We start from the raw sequence: 15,388 nt of genomic DNA on the forward strand, positions 1-15,388 counted from the left end.
TGGGAGTTTTCCTTCTAGAATCAGTTTCAGTGGGTGGATATCACCCATTGAAGGGCTGGGTAGCGGAGTAAAAGAGAATCTTCATTACTTGATTTTTTTTAACAATAAAATTATATTCATGTATTATTTGAGTAATCCACAAAATGATAAATTAAACACATATAAAGAACATGAAAACAGAAAATATGGCAGGAGAATGAGATTTGCTTTGTTTTCTGGAAGTCAGCTTTACAACAGTCTTCTGCTCTGGCGTTGCTTGCTGTCATGGATATCTGTGCTCTGTGGTAGGAGGTCTCTGAGGAAAATGCTCTTGAGTCCTCAGAACCATAGAATCAACACAGAAGAGAGACAGGGTGAGGGAAATGGTTATTTGTTCTCTACTATTTATGAAGAATGCACTATGGATGAAAATGTCCTGTTCAAATGCTTAGACATCAAACGCTTAGATGTGTTTAGGAAGAGCAAAATGTGACCTTAACCAAAGTTTGGAGACAACTGACAAAAAAGCTGTTGGGCCTCGTGAAAACAAATCTGTTTTAAATCCTTTGTGATGATAAGAAAGACTGGGTAATTGAGGGACAGAGGTAAAAGAGGAAGGGGAGGTGGATGGCATTAATGAGAGGTCACGTCTGGTCATACCAGATGGGGTGGCACTAAAGAGAGGTCAAACGGGGGCAGGGAGTGGCGCTAATGAGCAGTCATACCAGGTGGGGTGGCGGTAATGAGAGGTCATACCGGGTGGGGTGGCGGTAATGAGAGGTCATACCGGGTGGGGTGGCGGTAATGAGAGGTCATACTGGGTGGGGTGGCGGTAATGAGAGGTCATACCGGGTGGGGTGGGGTAGTGAGAGGTCATACCGGGTGGGGTGGCGGTAATGAGAGGTCATACCGGGTGGGGTGGGGTAGTGAGAGGTCATACCGGGTGGGGTGGCGGTAATGAGAGGTCATACCAGGTGGGGTGGGGTAGTGAGAGGTCATACCGGGTGGGGTGGCGGTAATGAGAGGTCATACCAGGTGGGGTGGGGTAGTGAGAGGTCATACCGGGTGGGGTGGGGTAATGAGAGGTCATACCGGGTGGGGTGGCGGTAATGAGAGGTCATACCGGGTGGGGTGGGGTAATGAGAGGTCATACCAGGTGGGGTGGGGTAGTGAGAGGTCATACCAGGTGGGGTGGGGTAATGAGAGGTCATACCAGTAGTACGGGGAAGAAGCGCAGCATCAGGACACCGCCTATCTCGTCTGTTTTTCAGTTTGTGCCATAGGAAAAAAATTAAGAAATATACCTTAGAAATCCAGGGTATAAAAGGGAGAGATGGTGTAATGGTAGGAAGATTGATGAAATAACTATAGATAAAGTTGAGTCCAGTGTCCTAAAATTAGCAGAAATCAGAGAAAGAGAGAGAAGTAGATCATGAATGCAGAGTTTAAAAATTAGCCAATGATAGGCTTTCATGCCAAATATTGACATCCTTACACCGCGGAACCGAGAGGAGAGGAGAGGAGAGGAGAGGAGGAGCAGGAGCAGGAGCAGGGGCAGTGGAAGACGGTGCTTTCACACTGGAGTTAACCCAGCAGCCCCAAAGGATGAAGCATTGTGAACTGGGAAAAGGGAGGCAGCGTAATGGTAAACTGAGGCATTCTAGAATGCTGGCAGCATTTGCTCTTACAGGCGATGTGTTAACTAAGGTCACTAGAGGTGAATCAATATTTGTTCTTTTTAATACATTTATATGTAAAAAGTGACAAGAACTGGTTGTGACCTTGTCCTGTCTCTCCATCACTGGCACACAAGAAGGCCCACCTATCACGATTCCTCACCTCAAACTATCTGGCAGTTGCTGCTGGAACTGTAGGCATTACACTGCTGAGTGAAAAATAATTTTCTAAAGGAGTTGTCTTTTGTCCTATAGAAGGACAACAAATGCTACAACTTGATTTTGAGGGTGAATCTAACTTTGGATAAAGTCACTTTTTCCTTTCCTAAACATTTCTAACAATTTTAACAACAGGTCATTTTTATACATAGTAGATTCTTCATAAATAATCCAGAACCAGTAACCACATGCAGCCTGCAGGGGTCCAGAATCACTGATTGGATATACCAAGTGTTGACCGAAGCTGCCCTTTCTGAGACAGCCTGTCCTCCTTGGCCTGTGGACCTTTGTGACCCTGCAGTGGGGGTATAGTGAGGCCTTTCTTCTGGAGACGGAACGACAAGCTTCTAATCCCAGCTCTGTCACGTTCCTACTGGGCGACCTGGCAGGTACTCGACCTCTCTGACTTGAGGGGTAAGTGGAGTAATAATGGTGCCTACATCATAGGATTGTTGTAAGGACTGAATGAGAAAACCACTTCCTGCTGTATAGGAGAGCTGACTAAATGCTAGTCCCATTACTATTATTAGCATTCCAGCTATATATGAAGATAATATCTACTTGACTTTTAGTATTTTGAAAATAAAAGTTATCAATAACAAACAAAAACCTTGTAAACTAGCTATGAATTGATTAGATATTCCCCTTTTAAGCTTAACACACTGGTTTCCCAGGACTATATACATAAATGGATATGAAATACAAAGAACAGAATAAAATGTGTGGTTTTCTTAAAACATTATGATTTTAGCAAATGAATATCTTTAAAATATAGTTTAATACATTATTGTTGTTTCTTTTTAAAAACCACTTATGATTTATATTTTTCTAAATTGTAAAAACTGACTTTAAAAATCATAATGCTTTGTTAATGAAAGTCACAAAAAATACATTGTGTAATGTATTCTACAGGATATGCACATTTCTTTAAGAATGCATGGAGTGAATGAAAATAACATGGGGGTATGAACCACAGAGTGAACATGTACCACAAACAACTCTTGTTGAAATGTAAGTAAGCAGGGATTGTTCTCCATCTAGCGAGCAAATACGAATGCTCTCATGTTTCACATGAACATTTTTCTTTATTTTAGAAACTTCACTTTTTACTTGCATATTTTGTTAATATTCACATAAGTAAATATATACAGGCAGTAAAATTTGGTGTGATAAAAAATGTAGCATATGAATTGTACAAGTTCTTGTTCCATACAAATGTAATAATATCTGTATCAGTTGTCTAAGCTGACTGCAGGGTTCTGCTGGGTTGTAGGCCATTTTGAAATAAAGAATTGTGACTTTCTTTCTTTTCTTTTTTTTTTTTTTTTTGAGACGGAGTCTTACTCTGTCACCCAGGCTAGAGAGCAATGGCGCAATCTTGGCTCACCGCAACCTCTGCCTCCCGGGTTCAAGTGATTCTCCTGCCTCAGCCTCCTGAGTAGCTGGGATTACAGGCGCCCACCACCATGCCCAGCTAATTATTGTATTTTTAGTAGAGACGGGGTTTCATCATGTTGGCCAGGCTGGTCTCGAACTCCTGACCTCAGGTGATCCGCCTGCCTCGGCCTCCCTAAGTGCTAGGATTACAGGCGTGAGCTACCGCGCCCGGCCAGAATTGTGACTTTCTTATAAGTTCTTTCATCTTCAAAAGCACTTAAAAAATTTCAGTTTAACACTGAGGGAAAGTTTATACATGTGATATGAACAATTGAATTCTTTAAATAATATAAGTTAAAATCATATTTAAGTCTATTTTTCTGATGGTTTTTGGTAATAATGTGGCTAGATGATTTGCTAAATTCCGTAATTCATTTGATATAAAGAACCAAAGACAAAAACCAAAACTCCCAACCCAACAGGGCCCCATAGAAAGACATTCATGCCCTACCCATAACACAGCTCCACCAGCCCCCATCTCCAGCTGGAGCACCTGGCGGCCTCCACCTCTGAGCGGGAGCCAGAACAGGTGTGGTGTGAGCCTCACCTGGGCCTGTCTCAAACACATCCTCTGAACTCACAAAACCAGAGTCCCCCACAGCACCAACTCGAACTTTGTATGCTGTTCCTGGCATTAGACCCTTTAACCCAAAGAAGCTCCGAGAACCATTTACAATTTCTTTTCTCCATTCTTCTTTGCCTATGGAAATTTTGCAAAAACAACACATTTGAATATTTTAAGGGACCAGAAGTCACTTAATGCTTCAAGAAAGGAAAATTCTTTATAAGCTAAAGACAAGATGTAGGATGCTTAGGTTTACCATTTTAGATTATTATAAATGTAGTCATGTCAAACAAATCAATTAAAATGACCTACAGGAAAATATCCTCAAAGAAAAATAGACTGGGTATCTAGCTTGCTTATTAATTGTATATATTCCCATTGTATTAATTCTCCTCTTTAATACAAAGGAAGGTTCTTTATCTGCACCTTGCCTTATGAAACTGTTGAGTTTCTCTAAAGATGTTTCTCAAAAGAACTGATACACATTAATTAGCTTAAGTGAACTATGGGAAGAATTGTTTTTTTATGATTCACAAGATGAATCTTTTAGTAAACTTAAATGCCTTCCAACGTATCCAATTAATCGATTCAACCTTTCCCAAGTACCGGTTTTTCTAAAGGGATCGTCATTTCTAAAAACATTTACTTGCATGATAAAGGCTTAAACAGAAAGTTGGACTCTGTTCAACATTTTGTCACAAACATTTATTGGCCACCTCATTTGTTCTATGTAAGCACACTGCACTTAGGAGGGGGGTACTGGCTTTTCATAAACTGCTGAAAGTGAAAGCTGCCCCATCTCCCAGTAGATGTGGCCAGGATCTACGAAGAGTGCCTGACTTGAGAATACATCAAACGTTAAAACATAATGAATGCTCTCCCAAAGTATTAATTTTCTGCGGTTTCTTATAAAATTCTGTTGGGCTAGTCAGGGCAAAATGAATACTTTCAAGTCAGTTTGATTTCTGTTACTTCAAGATCCAATTTGAAAAAAAAACCTTTTCTTCTTTTCTATTGTACTTGCAAATATAATTATTCCTTCTTACTCTTGTTTATGTGTTGTGGGCACAGAACTAGTTTCAAGTACTATGATATGAAAATAACATACGTAATGGAACATATGCCCTCTGTTATTAATAACATAAAAAAGCAATTCCTAGTCGTGCATATAATATGTGGTAGGCTGATGGTTCACTATAATTTTTTTAGATAACTCATTCATTTAATTGGATCAAGTTATTTTTCAAGATGATCCATAGTAAATTCTTAAGAATGTTTTTAATCTTTTAAAAAATGCATCCCCCAAATTAAAAATCGGGTAATGAAATTGTTTCTTACTGCCTGCTACACCATATTCAACATAAAAGTTCACATGCTCTGGTCCCTCATATTCCCAACTGATATTGGCATAGGTCTCAGCAGCTGCAGCAGTAAGATTGCTGATCCTGGGATTTACTGCTTGAACTAAACATACAATAGAAAAATAAAACAAACAATCATATTGCAACACCATACACACGAATATAAAATAAGTTTAAATACTCTGAAATTGTGCAAATAGAATTAAATAGAATTTACTGCTAAAATTTAGGGTTCACTCATGCTTTGCTTTCATTACAGAAAGGTTTTTGTTTCTTAAATTCAGCACTAGGAAATTAATAATCAGAAATAATGACGCATAATATTAAAATTTGTGAGTTCTATTATATGGGTTCTGAACAATGTTAACTGTTGTCCATTAGATACAGTCCCGGGAAATGTCACCGTCTTCATTTACTAAAGTGTGATGGAGAGGGGGATTGCTGAACAATCCCAGGGACAGACGTCATCATGGAATGTCAGAGACGCCAAGGTAAAACCCAATACTATGTGGCTACTTTTCAAACCTATTTGTCATCTCAATGCAGGTCTTTAAAAAATCTGTGTTGGTGTGACAGAGAATGCCCCTTTGAACAGCGTTTTTGATCTGTTTTAAAAAACAGACTTCTTTGAGTATCACTGGGAAACTCAGGGACCCCAGGTAAGAAATCCCTGCTTTAGAGAATGATGGATGGTAAGGGTATGTTGGAAGAGAAGCTGCAAAAGGAATTTCCAGATGTGTTCTATCAGAAGTTAAGAAAGAATAAATAAAAGGAGTAAAAACTATTTCATGTAACATTTCCTAGAGAGCAAGACAATCTTACCTGTTAACTGTTTGTTACAAAGCATTTTCTGAAAAATCATAGTGCAACCTAAATAGCTTCTTAAAAATCCAAATTATGGAGACCAGATGATGCTACATGCTTGCTACTGGGTAAAGACAACATCTAAAGTCATTAAAAAATGTTATTTGAATACCTGAGGCAGGCAATTCTATCAGTCCTACCTCAATAGCTTAAACTAAAAATGAAACATTTACAGATGTGTTAATTTGGGTAGTTAAAAAAGAAGATCAATTTATTATCTCACATAAAATTTACTAGGATAGTCAATCAGACAGCATCAATAGGTTTACCAAGACACTAAAATTATATTCTAAGATATGTTTATAAAATGTAGACGCTCAAGACCTTTGTTCAAATAAATGTAATAAAATTACATTTCTTAGAATTAAGAAAAGAAAGATATTAAAGCAGTTAAATAATGCTTTTGACTTCTGAAATATAATTCAACAACACATGCAAATTTTGTATCTCTTTGTGCTAAGCATGGGGAAACAGCAGAGGGCAAAACTGATTACTGAATTATGCAGAGTCCTTCTGTGGACCTAATTAATTTTAGTTTTCCGAGATTTTCTTCTTATAGGTAAAATAATAGGAATATGATCAATCAATGACAGTAAATATGCACACATGTGTAAAACATCAATGGCAACCCAGGAAAAACATTAATTTTCTTAAAAAATTTTGGAATATTGAAACAGGAATTTAATCTTGGAGTAATATGGAAGATGTTCAAGGCAGAAACATAATACTTCTAACACAAGAGCATTTACTAACAGAAGAGCAAAATACTTCTAACGGAAAAGCATTTAGTTTCTTCTTATATTTTACATTGGTTTCTATGGGTGCTCCCTTCTCAGAGTTTCTTCTCTAAACTGTTCATTATTATTATTTTGTTTCTAGTTTTATTGAAATGAAATCATTATCTCTACGAGTATCGACTCTCCTAAATTCATTGCAGCATTATTCACAATAGTCAAGACATGAAAACAACCTAAATATCCATTGACAGATGAATGGATAAAGAAATTACCATATATATATATATTTACACAATGGAATATTATTCCGACTTTAAAAAAAAAGGAAATCCTGCCATTTGCAACAACATGGATGAACCTGGAGGATACTATGCTAAGTAAAATAATCCAGACACAGAAAGGCAAATATTGCGTGATCTCACTTAAATGTGTGTGAAAGGAAAATAAATCTTTGGGCCCCAGAATCACTAAGCTAAAGGGAAAAGTCAATCTGGGAACTGCTTAGGACAAACCTGCCTCCCATTCTTTTCAAAGTCATCCCTCTGCTCACTGAGATAAATGCGTATCTGATTGCCTCCTTCGGAGAGTCTCATCAGAAACTCAAAAAGAATGCAACCGTTTGTCTCTCACCTACCTATGACCTAGAAACTCCCTGCTTCGAGTTGTCCCTCCTTTCCAGACCAAACCAATGTTCATCTCACATGTGTTGATTGATGTGTCATAACTCCCTAAAGTGTATAAAACCAAACTGTGCTCTGGCCACCTTGGGCACATGTCTTCAGGGTCTCCTGAGCTATGGGTATGTCACGGGCATATGTTCTCAACCTGGGCAAATAAACTTTCTAAATTAACTGAAACCTGTCTCAGATTTTCGGGGTTCACATGTGGAATCTAAAAAAGTTGTACTTAGAGAACGAGTGTAGAATAGTGGTTGCCAGGGGCTAGAGGTGGGGTGGGGGTTGGGGAAATGGGAGATGTTGGTCAAAGGGTACAAACTTTCAGTTATAAGATGAACAAGTTCTAGAGATCTAATGTACAGCATTATATTACTAATTATAGTTAATAATAAAGTATTATACACTGGAAATTTGCATTTAGCTTATTCTTAAAGATACCCAGAAAAGATACCACAATTTCCTAAGGCATGCTGTTTAGCCACTTTTACCATAGGGAATTCGAACTCTCCTTCCTTTTAATCCCCACTCATCCACCTTCTCACTCACAGAGCACCTATTTTGTACCATACAAGGGAGCTGTAGTGTCCCCTTTCTCTGGGCTTTCCCAACGGACTGCTTCCGGTGTGCCTCGCCCAACTGTAAGTCTTCCTCTGTAGATACCGCCAGTGTAGTTACCTACATTTTAGCTGCTGAAACTACAACTCTTATCTAGCCACTTCTCTGTTTAAAACTCTGCCTACAGGTAAATACAAATTCCTTAGCAAAGCATTCATGGCCCTTCAGAGCTGTTACCATCTGGCCCCGCCCACTGCTCCAGTCCCATCTCAGGGTCTTCTCTTTTCCACACACTCTCTACAAGTCAGCCTAAGTGGACCGCTTGGTATAACCCAGACATCCGGTATGTTTTCAAACGCCATGTGCTTATGACCCCTACCAAGACTTTACACACTGCAACTCCCTGACTCATCTGACAAAAATAAAACAAAAACTGGGCTTCAAGGCCCAGTTCAATATTATTTTCTTTGTGAAGCTTTTCCTGATCCTGCTTGGCAAAAAAAATGGTTCACACCTCTATATTCAGATAACATTTTGCTCCAATTTCTAGTTTAGCGTCAATTTATTACTCTTTCTATACGTTGGTCTTACCTGCCAGATTTCAAGCATGTCAAGGCCAGGGTTTGTCTTACTGTCTTTATACACAGCTTCTTAAACAAACACGGGTGCATTTTATGTGCCAGAGAGACATTCACTGTTGAACTGATTGAAACTTCTATGCTTCTAGATGTCTTGTTTTGTTTTCGTATAGGCCAAAAAAGGAATTTTATTTTTTATTTACTGGTTCTTTAGTAAAATAATGTAGTGAGAGTCAGATCACAGAAGGGATTCACCACTAGCTGATCCTCAATGCTCTTCTCTGCTCACTCCTAATTGGTTGACCATAGTAGGCTGCAAGTTAGGTCAAGAATGCAGATTCCTGCTTTGCCAGTTAGTTTATCCCTGTTTCTGTATTCCAACTAATTACCCTATAAAAGTATTTTGATGCTTGGTCCTCAGAGCGCCAGATTACATGCAATGGATATGGCATTGTGGATCATCAGCAATACTGGGAACATAAATCTTTTTGAGCCTGCACATTTTTGGTTCATTTCTATACATGCCTTCACAGTCTACTTCCTAGAATTCCAGACCCTGAAATCATTTATTTATTTATTTATTTATGAAATGGAGTCTCGTTCTGTCGCCCAGGCTGGGGTGCAGTGGTGCAATCTTGGCTCAGTGCAGCCTCCAGCTCACTGCAGCCTCTGCCTCCTGGGTTAAAACAATTCTCCTGCCTCCGCCTCCCGGGCAGCTAGGACTACAGGTGTGTACTACCACGCCTGGCTAATTTTGGTATTTTTAGTAGAGATGGGGTTTCACCATGTTGGCCAGGCTGGTCTCGAATTCCTGACCTCAAGTGATCTGCCTGCCTCAGCTTCCCAAAGTGCTGGGATTACAGGCATGAGCCACCACACCCAGCCTCATTTAAAGAGACATAGAAATTGAAAAAATATGCCAATCAACTATAATTCCTACACAAATATTGAGAGCTTTAATCCAACAAAGAAAAGGACAAAAATAAATGACTCAAAGGTCTCGCGTATGTAATTATCTTGAGGAGAATGGTAAGAAGAAGGGTTAGTATGGCATCATATAGTTAATTGAATTATCCTGGGTTTTCCTTCAGGTTTATAATCCTTTTGTAATTATACATTTGAAAACTTAGGTTTCATTAACATCTCTTAAAATCTGTAAGAAAGTTTAAAAATGTAAACTCAGATGCATTTCTTTTCCCCTCTTTGACCAGAAATGAATTAAAACCACTTTTCATGAAATCATAATTCATAATAAAATCTTATGAGATGTTGATTTTTTTTTTTTTTTTTTTTTGAGATGGAGTTTTGCTCGTTGCCCAGGCTGGAGTGCAATGGTGCAATCTCAGCTCACTGCAACCTCTACCTCCTGAGTTCAAACAGTTTTCCTGCCTCAGCCTCCTGAGTAGCTGGGATTACAGGCGCCCAACAACACGCCCAGCTAATTTTTATATTTTTAGTAGAGATGGGGTTTCATCATGCTGGCCAGGCTGGTCTTGAACTCCTGACCTCACGTGATCTGCCCGCCTCAGCCTCCCAAACTGTTGGGATTACAGGTGTGAGCCACCACGCCCGGCCATATTGATGCTTCTATAGCTAAGGATATCACATGTTTCCTCTTTATTCATCTCTTATTTATTCCCTATTGTCCTGATTTAAATAAAAATGTAAAAGATACATTTAAAAAATTAAAATTTGGGAGGATAGTGGAGAACTTCAATTTTTCTCCTGTCACAGAGCAGTTAAATTCCATATGGAGAAGGGAAATAGTGAAGAGGATAGAATTCATTTTCAGATTGAAAAAAAGAAGTATTTTTAAGGAAGGAAAACCCAGGATCACAAATTATGCTTGAGCAGTTTAAAGTCTTACTGGCAAAATATCCTCTTATGTAAGCCATACTTAACTACTGCTATACTATTAAAATAAACCATATTAAAATTAAGGTCAGAGTTAGCTTTTTTCCCCCTTATTTAAACGCTATTCTTTTCTTATCTAAGATCCATCAGATTTTAATACTGGGGGCTTAATGAACTTTCAGACACTCCATTTTTGCTTGTCTCTCTAATCATAAGTAGCTCACAATTCAAATTAGTAACATCAAATGGTAAAACCAAAACTCTTTAAATATAGAATTTAGTTTTAATTTATTAAAAACAGAGGGGTGATGTTTTTCCAGTGGAGTGCATATCTACTTCTAACGTGACAAGTCCACTGAGAATTCAGACTTGCTTCACAGACAGTCCTGCTGAAGCACAATTTCTCTGCTATCAGCTCTAGGCACAGCCACAGTGACATGTCCACTGCATAGGAAACAAGGCCAGGCTTTTAGTGAAATGCTCCAATTGAAGTTATAAAGCAATATATTATTGTAAAACTACTAATGATTTTAATTGATATCTAATTATCATAGGAAGGAAGTATACAAATAAATAGAAGTAAGTTTACATCGCTCTGTGATATAGAAATTTTGAATTTTTACAACTTCGTCAAGTCTAAAAACACAAATATAATACTCTTAAGATTACTGAAAATGGCTACAGTCCTTATTCAATAACTCCAAAATCTATCTGATCGATATTTTGTAATTTACCAAAGCTCTGAATATAAGCAAATTTCTAAGCAAATAGAATAAATCTATCAAGTCTAAGCTCACAGGAGTTGAATAACATAGGGCAAAGCACATTTTTCTCTTGGTCTTCCTTTTCTTCATTCCTGTTTATACTCACCTGATGTGCGAAAGCCCCTGACCATGGGCATGCCACGTGAAAACAGTGCCCAGTGGCAGGTACTCCACTGCTCTCTAAAAAGCTGACTGGTCAACCAGCAGCCAGGGGTCAAAGACTGGGGCATCTTTGGCATTGCCACTAATGGAAGACATATTACAACTTATTCAAGCACCATTCTCCCAACAAATCTTTCTGACCCAGAGAGCTGTCAGAAATAAAGGAGAACAAAATCCATTGTGGATTGTTGGCTATTACTCAGGAGGAAGAGACTTAGGCAGTTGGGTGAAGACAGGATGGGTGGGATAACACATTTGAGAAGAGCATATGGGTCACCTGGAAGACTCACTTGCAGGGGACCCTAAGCTCGGGGAGACTTAGTCCCAAACCAGTTGGAGGGCATTGCTACGCTGTAATTCCAAATGGACGGTTTTGTGCAATGGCAGCCGAGTGTACACTGTGTCTACAAGGAGAGCAGCTAAATCAGAATAGAACAGGAAGCTTGGTTGATCTGATTTCTACCAGGCTGTTTTCATCACAGGGCTAATATTTCTGAACCCCAAATAATGTGGCATGGCCATATAGAGGATCTGTGACAAATACACAGTTTTGGTCCTGTCTGATCCAGCCAAAATCATAGTATTAGAAGCTAAGATTAGGATTTGTACCAGGGATAAGTCTCAAGAAAAAATGTTTTGAGAATTCAATATGTGGCTTTCTACTTGTAAAGAAAGGACTAGAAATTAATTTTAAAGCCAAGATTGGATGAGATCTTCTCTTCTTTTGGTGGTTCAAAGCATATTTTCTCTGTTTTACCCATGCTGCACTTCCCCATGTTTCACATTGCAAATTTCACACATGTATAAAGTCATGCAGATGAATTATTTTACCTTTGCCTGCACCTACATCAGGTGGAAGAATACCAGCTTTAATGAAGGGAAACAGAAATAGGACACTATATAGTTAGATGTAACACACCCATGAGCATGTATAGCGATACAAAAACACTTATTAAAATGCTAAAGCATGCAAGAAGAATGAAGTGTACCACATCAGGTATAGGGGACAAAGATATGTTGGTGTCCCCAAACTTATCTAGTATTCAAATCCAGTACCAACATTTTATCAGGATACCCAGTTTGAATACCCAGTATTCAAACACATTACTTAAGGTGCATTATTCATACTTGTTGATTATGTATGAAGGCTTAGGATATTTCAAACCAATTTTTGGATAGAAATTGTCAATTTTTTATGCTATCAAAGATAGTCAAATGAATAATCCTTAAGCAACTCTACAATTTAGAGACATGCAAAACTAGAAAACCTTTTATAATATTTTTGATAATTTTCATTGAATCTCAAGATTTCAGAATAACTTTTTAAAGTATGAAAAGAAGTGTTAATTCCTTTTCTAAATACTATAATGGGCTATTTTGCTTTCTTTGTACATACCAAAATGCAAAATCTTTTGCTCAAACACAAAATAAATGCACTCTTTAATAACTGTTTCGATTTCCTTGCTAGAAAATGTAAATTGATATGTGAACTAGAAAATTTTTTCCAGTAAATCAGGACCAGAACTCGAATTACATATATTTGTGTGTATATAGATGTGTATGTCTGTGTATGCATATGTGTGTATTATGTGTATGTGTACATATGTATGTTTGTGCATGAATATATATAATATATAAAGTTGTAAACAGGAAACAACATTCCCCTGAACTTCAAATTCAAGTGTGGCAAATATTATGCTTACTCACTCCCACACTAAGATTTTAATGTAAGTTTAAGAAAGTTTCACATGGAGTTGAAAAATATCAGTCCAATATGAACTAAATAGCTGATTATATATCAGAATGAGAAATTACAAATAAGTGTTTGCGTTAATCAGGTAAGACAGACGTTCCATAGCAAGAAGGAAAAAGCATAAACTTAAAGATTTTTATTTCATGATGCTTATAATTATATGGATTTTATACATACCCATCTTACCTTCATCCACAGTTGTTACTGCTTCCTCTGTAATTTGACTTCCTGATCCTGCTGATGTTTGTGCATAGAAATAAAACTTATATCGAGTGCTGAAATTTAAATTTTTTAAAGTCCACCGTGTCTTGTTGGCAGGAATTTTCAAATCTACCAGAGGGCCTAATTCATGTGTGCTGTTAACTGTCAATAAGAAATAATGAACAAGTGCATTCTCCATTAACTGCTATAGGAATACTATTATAAATAAATACGTCAACTAAAAATGTTCAACCTGGCTTACATTGACTTTTATAATCCCACTCACTCTTTCCCCAGCATAACTAAGTGATAACCTTTTAACAGCTCCTATGCTATGTTCTATCATATCGTATCATATCATATCATATCATATATCACAAGGGGGTAGTATGTTCTCTATTGGCTAATAAACTAGAAGAATGTTGTGGTTGAATCACAATAGAATTTTTTCCCCTGTGTTCTTGCAGGTGGAGTTGTATTGTTAAATAACCCCAAACATTTTTCTTCAGAGGACTTTTGCCAAAGGAACCATTTTCTATTTGTAGAAAATGCATATGTGATTTAATGACAGGACTCACCTAAACCCCACTCCTAAAGGTCTGTATTATTCTACAGATTACTTAATTTTTAATAACATAGACATCATTTTTCTTTAAAAAGTAAGATTTGAAGTTCTTTCTGAAACAACACTTGAAGTTATATGTATATATTCTACAGATATAAAGAAAAACTAGCTTGTATTTTTTGATAACAGTTAAGTTAAACACCACATGTTCTCACTCATAGGTGAAAGCTAAAAAAAGTTCATGTCACAGAAGTAAAAAGTAGAACACAGCATCCCAGAAATAAAGGAAGGACAGAGGGAAGGCGAGATAGGGAGATATCAGTTAAAGGGAAGGCTGGGCGCAGTGGCTCACGCCTGTAATCCCAGCACTTTGGGAGGCTGAGGTGGGCAGATCACGAGGTCAGGAGATCAAGACCATCCTGGCTAACATGGTGAAACCCCGTCTCTACTAAAAATACAAAAAATTTGCCGGGCATGGTGGTGGGCGTCTGTAGTCCCAGCTACTCGGGAGGCTGACGGAGGAGAATGGTGTGAACTCGGGAGATGGAGCTTGCAGTGAGCCAAGATCTCACCACTGCACTCCAGCCTGGGTGACAGAGCGAGACTCCATCTCAAATATATATATATATATATATATATATATATATATATGTATATACGTGTATATATATACGTGTATATATATATACACGTATATATATATATACGTGTGTATATATATATATGATACAAAATGATAGCTAGATACAAAGACTAAGTTCTGGTGTTCCTTACACAGCTAGAGGGAGGATATTAAATGTTTCCAACACAAATAAATGATAAATATTTGAGAAGATGAATATGCGAATTCCCCTGATCTGATCACTATATGTATCGAAACATCACTACGTACCCCATGAGGAGGTATAATTATTTGTCAATTAAAATAATAAATAAAATAAAAAAACATATTTCCCCTTCTCTTCCTCCCAACAGCTTACTTGGCTGATACTTTAAGGTGTACTCTGTCAAAATGCCATTCGGGTGGCTCGGTGGATCCCATTCCAAAGTGAGAGAGTCCAGTGTTGGATTCACAATCTTCAAAGACGAGGGAGCACTGGGGACTTACAGTGAGAACTTACAGTCAACACAAAGATTTCTGAATGTTTCAACATGTATTAAATTGACATTTCACCGTGCTCGCACGATTCAAGGTTTTGAGTTTCAGTAACTCATTCCTGATTCAGCTGAAAATACATTAGTACAAACCTGTGACAGGCACCCATTTAGTTATTCTCTTCCTTTTTCTCTCTTGTCATTTACATTTATATTTAATAAAACCATCCTCTCAAAACACATAATGACTTTGCCTTTAGATGGACTCAAACCTAATATTTTAAAAAGAGGCAGTACTTGTTTGACGCATGAATGGTGTCTTAATAGAAGCAAACTAGCTACCAAG

At 37.8% G+C, this 15,388-nt stretch overlaps 1 protein-coding gene and 1 long non-coding RNA gene across 108 annotated transcripts in view; one reads left to right on the top strand and one right to left on the bottom strand.

Moving 5' to 3' along the window:
- The window catches only part of NRCAM (neuronal cell adhesion molecule), a 309,072-nt gene that overhangs the window by 15,414 nt on the left and 278,270 nt on the right, over positions 1-15,388 (bottom strand). For 28 of the 107 annotated variants that reach the window (NR_163871.1, NM_001371151.1, NM_001371148.1 and 25 more), the window contains 2 exons: positions 14,928-15,050; positions 13,368-13,544 (listed from right to left, as the gene is read on the bottom strand). The exons of 1 other annotated variant lie outside the window; for it this stretch is intronic. Coding sequence is in view for 101 of the 106 variants with exons in the window: in NM_001371151.1 (NP_001358080.1) it covers positions 13,368-13,544; positions 14,928-15,050 (300 nt within the window). In the remaining 5 variants the exon portion in view is untranslated. Of the gene's footprint in view, positions 1-3,858; positions 4,012-5,214; positions 5,341-12,259; positions 12,296-13,358; positions 13,545-14,927; positions 15,051-15,388 lie in introns of all 107 variants that reach the window. 78 more of the 107 variants (NR_163867.1, NM_001371122.1, NM_001371125.1 and 75 more) reach the window with 12 other exon arrangements.
- Positions 2,187-13,979, top strand: LOC102724363 (uncharacterized). Its single transcript, XR_002956579.2, has 4 exons — positions 2,187-2,288; positions 2,787-2,885; positions 5,619-5,728; positions 13,850-13,979. It is a non-coding gene; the product is annotated as an uncharacterized LOC102724363 (long non-coding RNA).

This window comes from Homo sapiens, chromosome 7, assembly GCF_000001405.40.
Source record: "Homo sapiens chromosome 7, GRCh38.p14 Primary Assembly".
Classification (NCBI taxonomy): Eukaryota; Metazoa; Chordata; class Mammalia; order Primates; family Hominidae; genus Homo; species Homo sapiens.